Below are 21,285 nucleotides of genomic sequence, written 5' to 3'. Positions count from 1 at the left end.
TCCATCCACACCAGTTGAGCATCACAGACCATGGATCAGCTCCATCCACACCAGTTGAGCATCACAGACTACAGATCAGCTCCATCCACACCAGGTGAGTATCACAGACCATAGATTAGCTCCATCCACACCAGGGGAGCATCAAAGACCATGGCCCTTCCCCATTCACACCAGATGAGTATCACAGACCATAGATCAGCTCCATCCACACCAGTTGAGCATCACAGACTACAGATCAGCTCCATCTATACCAGGTGAGCATTACAGACCATGGCCCTTCCCCATTCACACTAGGTGAGTATCACAGACCATAGATTAGCTCCACCCACACCAGGTGAGCATCACAGACCATGGATGACCTGCATCCTCACCAGGTGAGTATCACAGACCATAGATCAGCTCCACCCACACCAGATGAGTATCACAGACCATAGATCAGCCCCATCCACACCAGGTGAGCATCACAGAGCATAGGTCAGCTCCACCCACACCAGGTGAGCATCACAGACCATGGATTAGCTCCATGCACAGCAGGGGAGCATCACAGACCATGGCCCTTCCCCATTCACACTAGGTGAGTATCACAGACCATAGATTAGCTCCACCCACACCAGGTGAGCATCACAGACCATGGATGACCTGCATCCTCACCAGGTGAGCATCACAGACCATAGATCAGCCCCATCCACACCCGGGGAGCATCACAGACCATAGATCAGCTCCATCCACACCAGGGGAGTATCGCAGACCATAGATCAGCCCCATCCACACCAGGTGAGCATCACAGACCATGGATTAGCTCCATGCACAGCAGGGGAGCATCACAGACCATGGCCCTTCCCCATTCACACTAGGTGAGTATCACAGACCATAGATTAGCTCCACCCACACCAGGTGAGCCTCACAGACCATGGATGAGCTGCATCCACACCAGATGAGTATCACAGACCATAGATCAGCTCCATCCACAGCAAGTGAGTATCGCAGACCATAGATCAGCTCCATCCACACCAAGTGAGCATCACAGACCATAGATCAGCCCCATCCACACCCGGGGAGCATCACAGACCATAGATCAGCTCCATCCACACCAGGGGAGTATCGCAGACCATAGATCAGCTCCATCCACACCAGGTGAGCATCACAGACCATAGATCAGCTCCATGCACAGCAGGGGAGCATCACAGACCATGGCCCTTCCCCATTCACACTAGGTGACTATCACAGACCATAGATTAGCTCCATCCACCCCAGGTGAGCCTCACAGACCATGGATGAGCTGCATCCACACCAGGTGAGCATCACAGACCATAGATCAGCTCCATCCACACCAGGTGAGCATCACAGACCATAGATCAGCTCCATGCACAGCAGGGGAGCATCACAGACCATGGCCCTTCCCCATTCACACTAGGTGACTATCACAGACCATAGATTAGCTCCATCCACCCCAGGTGAGCCTCACAGACCATGGATGAGCTGCATCCACACCAGGGGAGCATCACAGACCATAGATCAGCTCCATCCACACCAGGGGAGCATCACAGACCATAGATCAGCTCCATCCACACCAGGTGAGGATCACAGACCATAGATCAGCTCCATCCACACCAGTTGAGCATCACAGACCACAAATCATACTTCAAATCTCATACCAAATTCACTTTCAAAGGAGATTAGCTGAGTTGCTTTATTTTACTCACACTTTTTCATTTCTGATCTTTTTAAAAAGTATATTTTTGGAAATTTTGGTTTCAATTGGTTTAGGATATCTTTTTATTATAACTGTGGTTTCAATTGCAGGGGTCAATTTTGCATTTGAATCAGATCCTCACGAGTGGTTGTTTCGTGCCCTTTGAGAGTCCCTGTTCATCTGGATCAAACTTCACATTTCTGATCACAGATTTGTCATTTTAAATGTAGTTACTTATAATACCTTGATATGATATTTATGCAACTTACCTCTCTTAAAACCTCATTGGAATAAAACTTAAAAGGAATAAAAAACCATACAGAAAAGCAACATTATGTGACATTTTCAAAGTTGTTTAAGTCCAGAAAACAATATCTGTTTGCATGTGATTAATTCCTGACAGTGGTATTTTAAAATATTGTGTGGAAATCACGTTCCTGTGTCTTTTTTTTTTTTTGAAGCATGTTTGTCAAACAAAGTAACACGTGGTGCTGATCACCATACCCAAAGCTGAGCACTGTTTCGAGCAGGAAAATCTCCCCACTCTCCTCCATCTCCTCTTCCTCCATCTCCTCCTCCTCCTCCTCTATCTCCTGCATCTCTTCCTCCTCCTCTTCCATCTCCTCCTCCATCTCCTCCATCTCTATCCCCTCTGTCTCCTCTTCCTCCTTCTGCTCTTCCTCCATCTCCTCCTCCTCTATCTCCTCCATCTCTACCTCCTTTGTCTCCTCCTCCTCCATCTCCTCCTGCTCTTCCTCTATCTCCTGCATCTCTTCCTCCTCCTCTTCCATCTCCTCCTCCTCCGCCACCATCTCTTCCATCTCTATCTCCTCTGTCTCCTCTTTCTCCATCTGCTCTTCCTCCAGCTCCTCCTCCTCCTCCTCTATCTCCTGCATCTCTTCCTCCTCCTCTTCCATCTACTCCACCTCCTCCATCTCCTCCTCCTCCCTCTCCTCCTTGTCCATCTCCATCTCCTCTGTCTGCTCTTCCTCCAGCTCCTCCTCCTCCATCTCCATCTCCTCCTCCCTCTCCATTTCCTCCATCTGCTCCTCCTCCATCTTCTCCTCCTCCTCTATCTCTACCATCTCCTCCTTCTCCTCTATCTCCTCCTCCATCTCCACCATCTCCTCCTTTGCCATCTCCTCCTTCTCCTCCATCTTCTCCTCCTCCTCCTCCATTTTCTCCTCCTCTCCATCTCCTCCTCCTCAATCTCCTCCTCCTCCATCTCGTCCTCCTCTTCCATCTCCTCCTTCTCCATCTCCTCCTCCTTTAACTTCTCCATCTCCTCCTCCTCTAACTTCTCCATCTCCATCTCCTCCTCCTCCATCTCCTCCTCCTCCTCTTCTTCCCCCAGCCTGGCTCCCTTCACCTACTCCTTCTCCTGCTGTGTCTTCCTCCCCACCTTCCTCCTGCCCTCTGCCCACACCCTCCCTGAACCCAGGCCAGGGCCACAGGCTACCAGGTGCCCATCCAGCCATGACCCTCTCCAGCCAGCCACCTTCTGTCCAGCTGATTCCAGCACACAGTGGTCTCAGAGCCACCCTTGAGGCTGGGCGGGGCTGAGGGCACCTGGGGAACCCCTGCTTTGGGGAGCAATGATGGCAGATGCCTGCTGACCGGCTCATTCCCACTCGGCGGCTGCCTGATCCTGGAGCAGGTCTCTAGGCTCATCATCTCCTCACACTCATTCCGGGCCTCTTAGCAGCTGTTGGCTTCCATCAGGGGAGAGAGATTGCTCCTTTTGTTTCTGTGGCACGTTATGGAATGCAGGCAGACACCTTGCAATTTCAAATGCCCAACAACCAATGCCACAGATGGATGAGGAAGCCGGCGTGGGGGCTGCTTGCTCCTGGAGCTTCCAAAGGGCACAGCCCATGTGGGTTTTTTTGGGGGTGGCTGCAGATTCCATGGGTGTGAGCCACCTGTCTCGATCCTGATTTTTCACTCCCCTTTGGATTTCTAACCATCTTGCATGAATGTTAAAGCGTCACTCCTCTCTGTCTTTCTGTTCTGCCTTTTTAAAGATCCTTTCTAATTTTTTTTTTTTTTAGACAGGGTCTTGCTCTGTCACCCGGACTGGAGTGCAATGGCACCATCATAGTTCACTGCAGCCTTCACCTCCTGGGCTCAAGCGATCCCCCACCTCAACCTCCTGAGTAGCTGGGACTATAACCATGCATCACCATACCTGGCTAATTTTTAAGTTTTTTTCAGAGACAGGGTCTTGCTATGTTGCATAGGCTGGTCTTGAACTCCTGGGCTCAAGCGATTCACCCACCTTGGCTGCCCAAGTAGCCCAGAGGGATTACAGGAACAGGTCATCATGCTCGGCTATTTTTTTTTTTAGAGATGGGGTCTTGCTATGTTGGCCAGGCAGGTCTTGAACTCCTGGCCTCAAGGAATCTTCTCACCTCCACTTCCCAAAGGGTTGAGATATCATAGTTCACTGCAGCCTCAACCTCCTGGGCTGAAGTGATCCCCCTACTTCAGCCTCCCGAGTAGCTGGGACTGCAACTATGCGTCACCATACCTGACTAATTTTTGAATTTTTTGCAGAGACAGGGTCTTACTATCTTGCCCAGGCTGGTCTTGAACTCCTGGCCTCACGCCATCATGCTTGGCTAATTTTTTGTAGAGATGGGGTCTTGTTATGTTACCCAGGCTGGTCTTGAACTCCTGGGCTCAAGTGAATCACCCACCTTGTCTGCCCAAGTAGCTGGGATTACAGGAACAGGTCATGATGCTCGGCTAATTTTTTTTGTAGAGATGGGGTCTTGCTATGTTGGCCAGGCAGGTCTTGAACTCCTGGCCTCAAGTAATCCTCTCACCTCCACTTCCCAAAGGGTTGAGATATCATAGCTCACTGCAGCCTCAACCTCCTGGGCTCAAGTGATCCCCCTACCTCGGCCTCCCGAGTAGCTGGGACTACAACCATGTGTCACCATACCTGGCTAATTTTTAAATTAGCCGAGATCATGCCACTGCACTCCAGCCTGGGTAACAGAGCCAGACTCTGTCTCAAAAAAAAAAAAAATACAGAAATTAGCCAGGCGTGGTGGCACGTGCTTGTAGTCCCAGCTACTCGGGAGGCTGAGGCAGGAGAATCGCTTGAACCTGGGAGGTGGAGGCTATAGTGAGCCGAGATCGCGTCACTGAACTCCAGCCTGGGTGACAGAGTGAGACTCCATCTCAATTAAAAAAAGAAGAAGAAGAAGTAGAAGAAAAAGGAGGACTTGCAGAAGCCACCCCAGGACTGTGTGCTCCTCCCAGGACCCAGGATTCTGCATATGAGATTTTCACTTCCAGTGTCACCTCAGAGTCCAAAACAGCTGCTGGGGCTCCAGCCCTCACACCCACTTTTCCACCAGCAAGAAGCAGAAATGGCTGAAGAATGTCAAGCTTCCCCTATGTCCATTCCAGCATCACCTCACAGTCCAAGGTGGCTGCTGAGACTCCAGCCCTCTCACCCACCTTTCCTCCAGCAAGAAGCAGGAATGGCTGAAGAATGGCAAGCTCTCTGATGTGTTCATTCCAGCATCACCTCAGAGTCCAAAACAGCTGCTATGGCTCCAGCCCTCACACCCACCTTTCCCCCAAAGAGAAGCAGAAATGGGTGAAGAATGGCAAACTTCCCCATATATTCATTCCAGCATCACCTCAGAGTCCAAGGTGGCTGCTGAGACTCCAGCCCTCACACCTACCTTTCCCCCAGCAAGAAGCAGAAATGGGTGAAGAATGGCAAGCTTCCCCTATGTCAATTCCAGCACTGCCTCAGAGTCCAACGTGGATGCTGGGGCTCCTGCCCTCACACCCACCTTTCTCCCAGCAAGAAGCAGAAATGGGTGCAGAATGTCAAGCTTCCCCTATGTCTATTCCAGCAACACCTCAGAGTCAGAAACAGCTGCTGGGGCTCCAGCCATCACACCCACGTTTCCCCCTCCTGGGTTCAAGTGATTCTCCCACCTCAGCCTCCCAAGTAGCTGAAACTACAGGTGACTGCCACCATGCATAGCTAAGTTTTGTATTTTTATTAGAGACGGGGTTTCACCATGTTGGCCAGGCTGGTCTTTAACTCCTGACCTCAGATGATCCACCCGCCTCGGCCTCCCAAAGTGCTGGGATTACAGGCATGAGCCACTGTGCCCTACATTATACATTTTAATTTTATTTTCAATTTAGTTGCATTTAATTTCACTTTAATTGGAATGCTTTTGAATTTTAAATTAAATTTTAGATTTTACCACATGCCTGTGTTCCAATAAGTTTAACTGGAAACTTAATTTAAAATAAGTTTTGTTGGGCCAGGCGTGGTGGCTCACGTTTGTAATCCCAGCACTCTGGGAGGCCAAGGCAGGTGGATCACGTTAGGTCAGGCGTTTGAGACCAGCCTGGCCAACATGGTGAAACCCTGTCTCTACTAAAATACAAAAATGAGCTAGGTGTGGTGGCAGGCACGTGTAGTCCCAGCTACTCGGGAGGCTGAGGCAGGAGAATCGCTTGAACCCAGGAGCGGAGGTTGCAGTGAGCCGAGATTGCGCCACTGTACTCCAGCCTAGGCGACAGAGTGGGACTCTGTCTCAAAAAATAAACAAATAAAATAAAAATTAAATAAGTTTTGTTGGGCCAGGCGTGGTGGCTCACGGTCGTAATTCCAGCACTCTGGGAGGCCAAGACAGGTGGATCACGTTAGGTCAGGCGTTTGAGACCAGCCTGGCCAACACGGTGAAACCCTGTCTCTACTAAAGTTGTGGGATTCCAGGCGTGAGCCACCGCTGCCTGCCGATAAACTTTTACGTCAACTGACTGCACTGAAGCCGTCACCCCCAGAGTTTGGAAAGTTAGTCTGAAAGTTCGGTCTCATTACCTTACAAAGCAGAAGAAGTCACCTGTCTAAATCAATCTCTGACAATCGCAGGCCATCGGCCCTGTTACCATTTATATCAGCACCGGCCAGGAACTTCACAGGTGGGCCACGTGTGACACTCGGATTCGGCGTGGAGTGACAAAGAAAGCCAGGAAGGCCTCCCCCGGCCATCTGAAGTCTCTCTAGGATTTGACGTCTGGGTGGCAGTGGCGAGTGGAGTTGGGGGGCGATGGCTGTGATGAAGGATGTTGAAGGGGAACTTTCACCTTCTCTGCAGAAATAATGGGAGGTCATTAAAATGGAATAGAAGGATCCGATAATATACCTGAAACCTCATGGCCACCTTACTCTGCAAAGGGGACACGGTTGATTACATATTTGTGCTGGTGAGACATGAACACACTCTTTGGGAGGCCGAGGCGGGCGGATCACCTGAGGTCAGGAGTTCGCGACCAGCCTGGCCAACATGGTGAAACCCCGTCTCTACTAAAAATACAAAAATTAGCCGGGCGTGGTGGCGGGTGCCTGTAGTCCCAGCTGCTCGGGAGGCTGAGGCAGGGGAATCGGACCCAATGGGGAAATAGGAAAGAAAAAAAAAAAAAAGCCAGGCACGGTGGCTCACACCTGTCATCCCAGCACTTTGAGAGGCCAAGATGAGCAGATCACCTGAGGTCAGGAGTTCGAGAGCAACCTGGACAACGTGGTGAAATCCTGTCTCTACTAAAAATACAAAAAATCAATAAATAATAAATAAATAAATAACCGAGCGTGGTGGCGCATGTCTGTAATCCGAGCTACTCGGGAGGCTGAGGTAGGAGCATCGCTTGAACCCAGGAGGCGGAGGTTGCAGTGAGCCGAGATGGCACCACCGCACTCCAGCCTGGGCAACAAGAGTGAAACTCCGTCTCAGAAAAACAAAAACAACCAACCAACCAGGGAACTTGAGAGAAGACACAGTGATTCTCTCTAAATATTCGTACCCTTTAATGCAACTCTCTTTTGGGAGAACTCTCTGCAGACTTTCAGAAAAACATCACAAATCTGCTCGCACACACACAGACACACACTCTCTCCCAGCGCCGCCCCCATCATCCTCAGCCAGCACGTCTATTTAGTCAGCCTCTGCAACACCACGCTGCTGTAACGCCAGACCCAAAGTGTGTTCATGAATGGTGTCAACGTGCTTAATTTATTACTGTAATTATTGTGATAATTTAGAAGAGATAAATTGAAATCTATTAGAATTTAATGTAAAAAGCTGTAATTAGTTTGCCTGAGAGAGGAGGAAAGAGACATTCCGCATCACGGAAAACCCATTAAGCCAATTACGATGTGAGCATGGCAGAGAGTACCCAGCCCCGTGAAATACACCCGTGGCTTTTGCCTGGTTGTACCCTGAGCGCACAGATTCATCTGTCTCATCCCTCATTAATTTAATAAACACATCGAGGCAAAAAGATGGGAGAATTCCTTAATCACCATAATGAACACATCTGTTCAGCTTTGGGTGTTGGGGATGGATTCTGGGAGGAGGGAGCTGGGAAGAGAGGGGAGAAAATGCATTACTTTCAAGCAATTAGCATGCAAACGATAAAACAGCAGAAAGTGTGTTTGTACACGTGCTGTATTTACACACAGCAGAAAAACAAACAAACAACAAAAAACAACTTTGCTGTATGCATGCATGCGTGTGTGTGTGTGTGTGACAGTATGTGTGTGTGTGCATGGACACACCTGTGCCCAGGGCTGTAACGTGAAATGGGAGGAGAGTGCATGGCTAATAAGACCACCAAATGCTTCGCCAGCAAATCCCCAGAAGGGCAAAAATAAAACCTGCTCAGGTGCAATTAAAAAATAGATATTTAAAGAAGGCAGTAACCGCTACCCCCTATTTACTGTCAAATTAATTCAGTCTGTCTGCAGAAGCCATCTGTATCAGCGTCACGAGACGGTGTCAGCGGCTCTCGCAGCCGTCAGGAGAAGAGAGCCCGCTCTTTTGTTTGATGGCTGTGATCGTGTGTACAAACTAACCAACTGCAACAGATATATCATAGATTTTCTCATAATTACCTGACCTGTTACACTGTGTCTGTCTTCCGCCAAACACACTGTTTTTATGTCAGAAGCTGTATGGGCATTTTTGGCTTTGATCATTCTGTATTCTGCAAATGTCAGCCTTACTGTATTTTAATTGACTCTGGGGCAGGATTGGAAAAAAAAAAAAAAAAAAAGCAACGTCTGCTAGACTCGCTCTTGCCTGATGAGGCTGACAAGCTGCCATTTGCAGACACAGGGTCTGGTATGGAGCCCTGACAGGGAGGCCCAGGCACCCCCCTCCGCGTCTCGGAGGGGTGTAACAAAATGATGTCAGGGAACGGGTTCAGGTAGCAGCTCTCTGCGGAGCCCACCTCTCCCTGCTCCCCGCCACCCTACACGTCAACCCGCCAGCCGGCTGCTGTCTGCCTTGCACCCCTGGGTCGTGTCAGGGTGAAGGTGCAGAGTCCCAGATCAAAGACAACATCGGTGCCTGAAGACGGGGTCACTGGTCCCCAGGCAGTGAGGACCAAGACGGGGTCCCCCCAGTCAGTGGGGACCAACCGCACACAGGTTGGTGGATTGAGATGGAAGCCCTTATCTTCCCTTACTGCAGTATTTGTGGCTTGAGATGGAAGCCCTTATTTTCCTTTGCTGGAGTATTTTTTTTTTTTCTTTTAATTAAGAAACAATTCTCCTGGTTGAAAATGTGGGCTGAGAAGCCGTGGCAAAGATTTCCGCTCAGAGGTCAATTTATTTTGTCTTGAGTTTTCAGAGACAGAAAATCTCTCCTTTTCTATCTGGCAGCACAGCAGTGTCATGATGTCACCGAACGCTTCCTGCCTCGTTAACCCAGCCTGGCTGGGGAAAAGCTGTCTTCATCACACAGTCCCTGAGAGACAAACCCTCCCGCTCCACTCCCCCCACCTCGCTGTGTCGAACGGATGTCTCCTGCTCAGAATCACTGTGTGATTATCTGTGTTGAGCCCACTGCTTTCTCAGAAAACCGAAATGAAGAAAAGAACTCACCGAGAGGAGAACGGAAATGTTACAGCAACTGTTTATTTCGAACGGTGAGGAAGGATGTTGTCATTCTGGAAATAATCTACTTTTTTTTTTTTTTTTTTTTTAAGACGGAGTCTCACTCTGTTCCCAGGCTGGAGTGCAATGGTGCCATCTCGACTCGCTGCAACCTCCACCTCCTGGGTTCAAGCGATTCTCCTGCCTCAGCCTCCCGAGTAGCTGGGATTACAGGCACCCGTCACCATGCCCGGCTAATTTTTGCATTTTTAGTAGAGATGGGATTTCACCATGTTGCCCAGGCTGGTCTCAAACTCCTGACCTCAGGTGATCCACCTGCCTCAGCCTCCCAAAGTGCTGGGATTACAGACGTGAGCCACCGTGCCTGGCTAATTTTTGTATTTTTAGTAGAGATGGGGTTGCGCCATGTTGGCCAGGCTGGTCTTGAACTCCTGACCTCGTGATCTGCCCACCTCGGCCTCCCAAAGTGCTGGGATTACAGACGTGAGCCACCGCGCCTGGCTAATTTTTGTATTTTTAGTAGAGACGGGGTTTCACCATCTTGGCCAGGCTGGTCTCAAACTCCTGACCTCAGGTGATCCACCTGCCTCAGCCTCCCAAAGTGCTGGGATGACAGGCATGAGCCACCATGCCCGGCTAATTTTTGCATTTTTAGTAGAGACGGGGTTTCACCATGTTGCCCAGGCTGGTCTCAAACTCCTGACCTCAAGTGATCCACCTGCCTCAGCCTCCCAAAGTGCTGGGATGACAGGTGTGAGCCACCACACCCGGCTAATTTTTGTATTTTTAGTAGAGACAGGGTTTCACCATCTTGGCCAGGATGGTCTCGATCTCCTGACCTGGTGATCCACCCTCCTCCGCCTCCCAAAGTGCTGGGATGACAGGCGATGATCTACTTTTTAGGTGGCAAATACCCATTGGCCTGACGGATGACTGTGAAGAAATGAACGAATGGATCTGAATCTACGAACAGGTGCCGAAGGAAATGATAAAGCTGAATTACTTACTTGAATCATATGCTTCCTTGGTATTGCGTAGAATGTGAGCAGCATCTACAAACTATTATCTAGACTTCCCCAGAGATGGGAAATTGGTGAAGAATGATGACTTGGAGAAGGAAGGGTGCTGGTCCAACTTTCATGCTAAGCACCAACCTGGGTAGAAGGCTGGTTGACTCTGCTGCTGCAAACTGAGTGTATTAGTCGGCTGGGGCTGCCATCACACAATACCATCCACTAGGCCAGGTCCAGTAGCTCACACCTGTAATCCCAGCACTTCGGGAAGCCGAGGCGAGGCGGGTGGATCGCCTGAGGTCAGGAGTTCGAGACCAGCCTGACCAATATGGAGAAACCCCATCTCTACTAAAAATACAAAATTAGCTGGGCATGGTGGCGCATGCCTGTCATCCCAGCTACTCGTGGGGCTGAGGCAGGAGAATCACTTGAACCCAGGAGGCGGAGGTTGCCATGAAGCGAGATCGCGCCACTGCATGCCAGCCTGGGCGACAGAGTGAAACTCTGTCTCAAAAACAAAAACAAACATACAAACAAAAAAACATCCACTATGGGGCACAAACACTACACATTTATTTCTCATAGTTTTGGACACTGGAAGTCCTGCAGTTTGCATGCCACCAGATTCAGTTACTGGTGAGGATTCTCTTCTTGGTGGATAGACAGTATCTTCTCCCTGTGTCCTCGTATGGCAGATAGAGAGAGAGAGAGAGAGAGCTCTGGTGTCTCTTCTACTTCCCGTAAGAACGCTAATCCCAGCTGAGCACGGTGGCTCATGCCTGTAATCCCAGCACTTCGGGAGGCCGAGGTGGGCGGATCCCCGAGGTCAGCAGTTGGAGACCAGCCTGACCAATGTGGTGAAACCCTGTCTTTACTAAAAATACAAAAAATTAGCCGGGCGCGGTGGTGGGTGCCTGTAATCCCCACTACTCAGGAGGCTGAGTCTGGAAAATGGTGTGAACCCAGGAGGTGGAGGTTGCAATGAGCTGAGATCCCGCCACTGCACCCCAGCCTGGGTGACAATGTGAGACTCTGTCTCATAAATAAATAAAATAAGAACGCTAATCCCATCATGAGGGATATATCCTCAAGATTTAATCTAATTTTAATTATCTTCCAAAGTTTCCGTGTCCAAATAACACCCCATTGCAGATGCGGGTTCCAACATATGGATTTTGATGGGATATTTAACCCACTGTGCCAAGACAGAACTCAGTTGGTTATGGCTGCAATTTCTCTATTTCTCTCTGTCTTTTTTTGTTTGTTTGTTTTTGTTTTGAGACAGGGTCTCACTCTGTGGCCCAGGCTGCAGTGCTGTGGTGTGATCTCAACTTGCTGCAACCTCCACCTCCCAGGTTCAAGTGATTCTTCTGCCTCAGCCTCTCGAGTAGCTGGGATTACAGGTGCCTGCCACCACACAAGGCTAATTTTTGTATTTATAGTAGTGACGGGTTTCACCATGTTGGCCAGGCTGGTCTCGAACTCCTGACCTCAGGTGATCCACCTGATCCACCATGATCCATGCCCAACCTATTTTTCTCTCTTACTGCAGAGATAATGGTCCCCAGAGATGTCCCCATCCCCTTCTGTGAGTTTCAACCTTCTCCCTAGGTAGCAATGTCTGCCTTTATTATTATTTTTATGTTTTCTCATATACTCTTTACTGAGTTTCCCTCAGTGGTAACATCTTGCAGTGGTAACATCTTGATAGTACAATATCAAACCCATATATTGACATTGATATAGCCAAGATACAAAACATTTCTATCACTACAAGAATCCTTGCTGTTGCCTATTTGTAGCCATACCCACTTCCCTTCTGCCCCCACTCCCTCCTTAATCCCTGGCAACAACTAATCTGTTTTCCATTTCTATAATTTTACCAGGTCAAGAATGCTACATACATAGAATTACATAGAATGCTACTTTTTCACTTGACATAATTCCCTGGAGATTCACCCAGGTTGTTGCATATGTTAATAATCTGTTCTTTTTTGTTATCAGATAGTATTCTCTGGTAGAGATGTATCACAGTTTGTTTACCTACTCAGCTGATGAAGGACATCTAAATTGTTTCCAGTTTTTGAGTATTACAAACCAATCTGTTACAAACATGACGTAAAGGTTTTTGTGTGAGCAAAAGTCTTCATTTCTCTGGGCTAACTACCCAGGAGTGCAACAGTCAGGTGATTGCTCAATGTCTACTTTTAAAAGAAACTGCCAAACTATTTTCCAGAGCATGTCATTTTTATATCACTAGCATAGACAAAATGGCCCGGTTTAAACCTCATTCTTTCCAGCATGCAGGTTTGAACTCAGTCAACAGTATCAACACATAAGGCAAAGTGCAAAGTTGTGGGATCCCAGCTACCCATTGGAATGAGCACTCACTCACAGAGGCAGAATTCCTGAGAGAGACATGGCCTGGACTTCCGTATCAAGAAAAATCCACCCAACAGGGCACCAACGAGATGCCTTCAGTGATGGTATCTTCATGTAATGGCTGAGGATCCAGTCTCTCCAGGAAAGGACGAAAAGGAGGAAAGGAGGCTTCTAGGAACCGGCTACAGGTTATTATTTAAGGAGATTCACTGAGCTTGAATAAGTCCCCACCAAAGGAAGTGAAAACATCAGCGACTTTTGCACTAAACTCAGCCCAAAGGGAGGTCCTGGAAGATCAATGCTATTTATGCAAAATTATTTCTGGCCGGAGTTATCTGGCAAACAGACAAACACCCACATTTCAGGCAATGAATGAAGATGACTTGGATGAGCCTCCACCAGCTTCTCTGTGGCTATTTATTTACAGTAATACTATTCTGCTCATAGCATCCTTTGCTCTCCAAAGGTTGACTTTGCCACATTGCATCTCATTGTTTAGGGTTGGTCTTTGGTGCTCTATAAGACTAATTTTTTTTTTAATTGAGGCAGAGTTTTGCTCTCATTGCCTAAGCTGGAGGGCAATGGCACAATCTCGGCTCACTGAAACCTCCGCCTCCCGGGTTCCAGTGATTCTCGTGCCTCGACCTCCCGAGTAGCTGGGATTACAGGCGCCCACCACCACACCTGGCTGATTTTTTTGTATTTTTAGTAGAGATGGGGTTTCACCATGTTGGTCAGGCTGGTCTCGAACTCCTGACTTCATGATCCGCCCCCCTCGGCTACCCAAAGTGCTGGGATTACAGGTGTGAGCCACCGCGCCTGGCCAAGACCAAAGTTTTCTTTTCTTTTGTAATATTCGTCCACCACAAGTTATAGGAAGAGGAGTCAGGTTTGACAAGGCTGTTTGAGGATCTGATGAAAGGTATGCATTTGCTCAACCCTAAAAACCTATGGAATTCCTCAACCCTAAAAAGTGTGTACATTCTTTGGCCAGGTGCGGTGGCTCATGCCTGGAATCCCAGCACTTTGGGAGGGTGAGGCAGGTGGATCACACGGTCAGGAGATCGAGACCATCCTGGCTAACACGGTGAAACCCCGTCTCTACTAAAAATACAAAAAATTAGCCGGGCGTGGTGGCGGGCGCCTGTAGTCCCAGCTACTCGGGAGGCTGAGGCAGGAGAATGGCGTGAACCCGGAAGGCGGAGCTTGCAGTGAGCCGAGATCGTGCCACTGCACTCCAGCCTGGGCAACAGAACGAGACTCTGTCTCAAAAAAAAAAAAAAAGAAAGAAAGTGTGCACATTCTTTGGCCAGGTGCAGTGGCTCATGCCTGTAATCCCAGCACTTTGGGAGTCTGAGGCAGACGGATCATGAGGTGAGGAGTTCGAGACCAGCCTGGCCAACATAGTGCAACCCCATCTCTACTAAAAATACAAAAAAATTAGCCGGGCGTGGTAGCGGGTGCCTGTAGTCCCAGTTACTTGGGAGGCTGAGGCAGGAGAATGGCGTGAACCCAGGAGGTGGAGCTTGCAGTGAGCCGAGTTTGGGCCACTGCACTCCAGCCTGGGCGACAGAGAGAGACTCTGTCTCAAAAAAAAAAAAAAATTTGTGTACATTTTTTGGCTGGGCCCGGTGGCTCACGCGTGTAATCCCAGCACTTTGGGAATCTGAGGCAGATGGATCATGAGGTGAGGCGTTCGAGACCAGCCTGGCCAACATAGTGAAACCCTGTCTGTACTAGAAATACAAAAATTAGCCAGGCGTGGTGGTGGACGCCTGTAATCCCAGCTACTCAGGAGGCTGAGGCAGGAGAATCACTTGAACCCGGGAGGAGGAGGTTGCGGTGAGCAGAGATCACGCCATTGCACTTTAGCCCAGTGACAGAGCGAGACTCCATCTCAAAAACAAACACACAAACAATAAACCAACACAACAACAACAACAACAAAAAACCCCAAAAAACTGATACCTTGACCAGGTCTTCTGCCACATTCCCTAATGACCTCTCCCAACCTTGTCCCCATCATGTGGACAATAGCCACCATCATTTTCTCGCACAGATTCTCAACGCGCGCCCACGCTTGCTTTGTTTTACTTGCTCCAGAAATGAAGCACATTTCTGGAATGACCCAAATCTCAACCCACTCCTAGCCTACACCTCTAGGGCTCAATGTAACTCATGAATATCCTGTGGGCACCCCCAATAGCTTCACTTCAATGGCACCCAACCAGGAGTCTCACTTCAAATCAATGGCAGCCAACCTTACGGTCTGCTTCTTGCTGGCCAGAACCATGATACATATATTTTCTTCTATTCATTCTCCTCTCCTCCAGGAGTATCAGACATTTTTTGTTTCCCCTGCCAGCCTCCAACATCTCCTCCAACCTCACCTGATACCCTCCTCTGACATTGAGAATGTGAAAGAAGAAGACACCAGCAGAACACTAATGCCCACCAACCCACCCCCTCACCAGCCGCTGCAGCTATGAGCTCTTCTCTGCATCACTCAAATGACTCGTGGTCCAGTTTAAAACCCATTCTACGCCTGTAATCCCCATGAGTCACAACCCTATACTTTTCAGACTCAGGGATATCAACCCTAAGGGGTTCAATGTATGATATCAACCTCATGAAATCCATTTATATGAGACACACCAATACATGTCCTAGCAGTACGGATTCCAACCCTGTAGAGTCCAGCCCTAAAATTCCCAACTCTACAGACCCCAGACTTATGAGTTCTAGCCTTATAAAATCAAGCAAATATGACCGAGCCCTAATCAGCTCCATTCACTGAATTCCAACCCTATGAATACAACTCTATAGATGCCAGCCCTATGAATCCCAGCCCCATGGGTCACAACCATACGAATCCAGCCCTATGGGTCATAATCCTACAACTCTTAGCCCTCTGAATCACAACTCAGCAAATCCAGCACTATGAGTCACAACCCTATGAATTCAGTCCCTTGGATCACAACCCTATGAATCTAGCTCAACGGGGCATGACCCTACACCTCTAAGTCCTCTGAGTCACAACTCAGCAAATCCAGCCCTATGAGTCACAACCCTACGAATTCAGCCCTTTGGGTGACAACCCTATGAATCCCAGCCCCATGGGCCAAAGCCATACAAATCTAACTCTATGCGTCATAACCCTACAACTCTTAGCCCTCTGTGTCACAACCCTATGAATTGTAGCCTTCTGGGTCACAAATCTACAAGTCCAGCCATTTGGGTCACAACCCTATATATCCCAGCCCCATGGGTCACAACCCAATCAATCTAGCTTTCTAGGGCATAATCCTGCAACTCTTAGCCCTCTGAGTCAAAACTCAGCAAATCCAGCCCTATGAGTCACAACCCTATGAATTCAGCCCTTTGGGTGACAACCCTATGAATCCCAGCCCCATGGACCAAAGCCATACAAATCTAACTCTATGCATCATAACCCTACAACTCTTAGCCCTCTGTGTCACAACCCTATGAATTGTAGCCTTCTGGGTCACAAATCTACAAGTGCAGCCATTTGGGTCACAACCCTATATATCCCAGCCCCATGGGTCACAACCCAATCAATCTAGCTTTCTAGGGCATAATCCTGCAACTCTTAGCCCTCTGAGTCAAAACTCAGCAAATCCAGCCCTATGAGTCACAATCCTACGAATTCAGCCCTTTGGGTGACACCCCTATGAATCCCAGCCCCATGGGCTAAAGCCATACAAATCTAACTCTATGCGTCATAACCCTACAACTCTTAGCCCTCTGTGTCACAACCCTATGAATTGTAGCCTTCTGGGTCACAAATCTACAAGTGCAGCCATTTGGGTCACAACCCTATGAATCCCAGCCCCATGGGTCACAACCCAATCAATCTAGCTTTCTAGGGCATAATCCTACAACTCTTAGCCCTCTGAGTCAAAACCCAGCAAATCCAGCACAATGAGTCATGACCCTACGAATTCAGCCCTTTGGGTGTCAACCCTATCAATCCCAGCCCCATGGGTCAGAACCCTAGGAATCTAGCCCTGTAGCTCATAATCCTACAAATCTCAGCCCTTTGGGCCACAACCCTACAAATTCTAGCCCTCTGGGTCACAACTCGACAAATTCAGCCTTCTGAGTCACAACCCTACGAATCCATCCCTTTGGGTTATAACCCTATGAGTCCCAGTACCATGGGTCACGACCCTACTAATCCAGCTCTATGGGTCATAACCCTACAACTCTTAGCCCCACAGATCGAGCCATCTATATGCCAGAGAGCTGTGGATCTCAGCCTATAATTCCTACAGCTATAGGTCCCAGCCCTATGGCTCCCCTTTTCAGCAAATCCCTCCCCCAAACTCTACCTACTCCTTGGAGCAGAACACAAATCCTTAGACTCTCTTTGGCTCAAAGGGACATATCACATTCCCCAAAGGGCTTCCTCCAAAGGCACCATGAAGCCCATCACCAGGTCTTAGCTCCTCTAAGCTTTACGTACCCGGAGGGCTTGGCACACGGAGTTCGTTTCCCTCCCCACGTCACACGTTCACAGCACCCCAGGAGCAGCCCGGGGGTCTCCCATGGCACCTGGAGGCAAAATTCAAATTAAATCGAAACAACCCTGAGTTTGAGACATACTTTTGAATACCAAGTGAATTAACATTAAAAAAAAAAAGGATGCCAAAAATGGGTGTCTGAAAGCAGAAAGACATATGTCAGGAAGGTTGTGGGACTCTCATAAAACCTGAGTACCACTCATAAAAACATGGCAAATAAAGTTCCCCAGTGTTTCACTGCACGATGGAAAGAGAATTGCCAAAGAGAGAGGAAGGAGCGAAAAGCAATCTCTGCGTGAAGATTGCCCGATGCTCAACATGAGTAACCTCATGCATAAAGAGAAATGAACATGGCAGAACGCAGCCTAGCGTGGAGTGGGCTGGTTCAATCATTACCCAGGTGTAAACAGAGGAATCAGTTTTCCCACAGTCTTTGACTTTCATTGGACAAATCCACCCCTATGAGTCACAACCCTACAAATCCAGCCCTCTGGGTCATAACCCTATGAATCTTAGCCCCCTGGGTCACAACCCTATGAATTCTAGCCCTCTGGGTCATACCCTACGAATCTTAGCCCCCTGGGTCACAACCCTATGAATTCTAGCCCTCTGGGTCATACCCTACGAATCTTAGCCCCCTCGGTCACAACCCTATGAATTCTAGCCCTCTGGGTTGTAACCCTACAAATCTTAGCCCCCTCGGTCACAACCCTATGAATTCTAGCCCTCTGGGTCATACCCTACGAATCTTAGCCCCCTGGGTCACAACCCTATGAATTCTAGCCCTCTGGGTCATACCCTACGAATCTTAGACCCCTGGGTCACAACCCTATGAATTCTAGCCCTCTGGGTCATACCCTACGAATCTTAGCCCCCTGGGTCACAACCCTATGAATTCTAGCCCTCTGGGTCATACCCTACGAATCTTAGCCCCCTGGGTCACAACCCTATGAATTCTAGCCCTCTGGGTCATAACCCTACGAATCTTAGCCCCCTGGGTCACAACCCTATGAATTCTAGCCCTCTGGGTCATACCCTACAAATCTTAGACCCCTGGGTCACAACCCTATGAATTCTAGCCCTCTGGGTCATACCCTACAAATCTTAGACCCCTCAGTCACAACCCTATGAATTCTAGCCCTCTGGGTCATAACCCTACGAATCTTAGCCCCCTGGGACACAACCCTATGAATTCTAGCCCTCTGGGTCATAACCCTACGAATCTTAGCCCCCTGGGACACAACCCTATGAATTCTAGCCCTCTGGGTCATAACCCTACGAATCTTAGCCCCGTGGGTTACAACCCTATGAATTCTAGCCCTCTGGGTCATACCCTACAAATCTTAGCCCCCTGGGTCACAACCCTATGAATTCTAGCCCTCTGGGTCATAACCCTACGAATCTTAGCCCCCTCGGTCACAACCCTATGAATTCTAGCCCTCTGGGTCATAACCCTACAAATCTTAGCCCCCTGGGTCACAACCCTATGAATTCTAGCCCTCTGGGTCATAACCCTACGAATCTTAGCCCCCTGGGACACAACCCTATCAATTCTAGCCCTCTGGGTCGTAACCCTACGAATCTTAGCCCTCTGGGTCACAACCCTACAAATTCCACTGTTTGGGTCACAACCGTATAAACCCTATAAATATAATTTTGGTATTTATCTTGTTTCCATAATTTTTGATTGAGGTTAAAAAAACCCCACATGAGACATAAAATTTACCATCTTGAGCCTTTGTAAGAGGGCAATTTAGCCGTTTTATGTATTTTCCTTTTTTTTTTTTTTTTTTGAGATGGAATCTCGCTCCTGTTGCCCAGGCTGGAGTGCAATGGCGCGATCTCAGCTCACTGCAACCTCTGCCTCCCAGGTTCAAGCGATTCTCCCGCCTCAGCCTCCCGAGTAGCTGGGACTACAGGCACCTGCCACCATGCCCGGCTAATTTTTGTATTTTCGGTAGAGACAGGGTTTCTTCATATTGCTCAGGCTGGTCTTGAACTCCCGACCTCAGATGATCCGCCCCCGCCCACCTCGGCCTCCCAAAGTCCTGGAATTACAGGTATAAGCCACCGTACCCGGTAAGTCTTTTCCCTTTTTATGCAAAAAATCTTTTTGACGTTTCCCGTCTTGCAAAACTGAAACTCTGTCCCCTTTTCTCCCTCCCCAAGCCCCCGGCACCCACGACTCTATTTTCCGTGTCTACAAATTTGACGACTCTAGGGACCTCATATAAGTGGAATCCTAGAGTATTTGTCTTTTTGCATCTGGCTTCTTTCTCTCAGCGTCATGTTCTCAAAGGTCCATCCGTGTTGGAGCAGGTGTTATGCGATGGTTAATACTGAGCGTCAACTTGATTGAACGGAAGGATGCAAAGTATTGTTCCTGGGTGTATCTGTGAGGGTGTTGCCAAAGGAGAATAACATTTGAGTCAGTGGACTGGGAGAGGCACAGCCACCCTCAAGCTGGGTGGGCACCCTCTCATCTGCTGCCACCGCAGCTAGAATAAAGCAGGCAAAGGAGCGTGCAAGGACTAGACTGGCTGTATCTTCCAGCCTCCATCTTTCTCCTGTGCTGGACACTTCCTGCCATTGAAACTCAGACTTCAAGCTCTTCGCCTTTTGGACTCTTGGACTGACACCAGTGGTTTTACCAGGGACTCTTGAGCTTTCGGCCACAGACTGAAGGCTGCCATGTCAGCTTCCCTACTTTTGAGGTTTTGGGACTCAGACTGGCTTCCTGCCTCCTCAGCTTGTAGACGGGCTATTGTAGGGCTTTACCTTGTGATCGTGTGAGCTAATTCTTCCGATAAACTCTTTCATGTACGTCCGTGTGGAGACCACCAAACAGGCTTTGTGTGAGCAATAAAACTTTTAATCACCTGCGTGCAGGCGGGCTGAGTCCGAAAACAGAGTCAGGGGAGGGAGATAAGGGTGGGGCTCTTTTATAGGATTTGGGTAGATAAAGGAAAATTACAGTCAAAGGGGGTTTGTTCTCTGGCGGGCAGGAGTGGAGGTTGCAAGGTGCTCAGTGGGGGAACTTTCTGAGCCAGGATGGGCCAGGAAAAGGATTTTCACAAGGTAATGTCATCACTTAAGGACCGGCCATTTTCACTTCTTTTGTGGTGGAATGTCATCAGTTAAGGCAGGGCAGGACGTTTTCACTTCTTTTGTGATTCTTCAGTTACTTCAGGCCACCTGGGCATATACGTGCAAGTCACAGGGGATGCGATGGCTTGGCTTGGGCTCAGAGGCCTCACAAACTGCCCTGCATATATTCATCTATTTTATTAGTCCTGTCTCTTTAGAGAAACTTGACTAATACATGTTAGCATTTCCGTCTTTTTAACGGTGAATACCATCCCACTGTAGGTTGACGTCAGATTGTTTGTTGTTTGTTTTTGCTGTTGTTTGTTTGATTTTGTTTTTTGTCTTTTCTTTTGAGACAGAGTCTCGCTCTGTCACTCAGGCTGGAGTGCAATGGCACGATCTCAGCTCACTGCAACCTCTGCCTCCCGGGTTCAAGCGATTCTCCTGCCTCAGCCTCCTGAGTAGCTGGGACTACAGGCACCTGCCATCATACCTGGCTGATTTTTGTATTTTTAGTAAAGACGGGGTTTCACCATGTTGGCCAGGCTGGTCTTGAACTCCTGACCTCAGGTGATCCGCCTGCTTTGGCCTCCCAAAGTGCTGGGATTACAGGCATGAGCCGCCATG

The 21,285-nt window shown here is 48.8% G+C and overlaps 1 annotated feature.

Annotated features, from left to right (window-relative positions):
- Nucleotides 20,431-20,970: an enhancer, noted in NCBI's record as "NANOG hESC enhancer chrX:1104952-1105491 (GRCh37/hg19 assembly coordinates)". NCBI's record gives its function as "activates a minimal SCP1, AML or CMV promoter by ChIP-STARR-seq in primed H9 embryonic stem cells {active_cell/tissue: H9 hESC(primed)}" and the evidence as "EXISTENCE:reporter gene assay evidence [ECO:0000049][PMID:30033119]".

Source organism: Homo sapiens, chromosome Y (assembly GCF_000001405.40).
Source record: "Homo sapiens chromosome Y, GRCh38.p14 Primary Assembly".
Classification (NCBI taxonomy): Eukaryota; Metazoa; Chordata; class Mammalia; order Primates; family Hominidae; genus Homo; species Homo sapiens.
The sequence above is the reverse complement of the archived record's forward strand: the minus strand, read 5'-3'. Positions and strand labels throughout refer to the sequence as shown.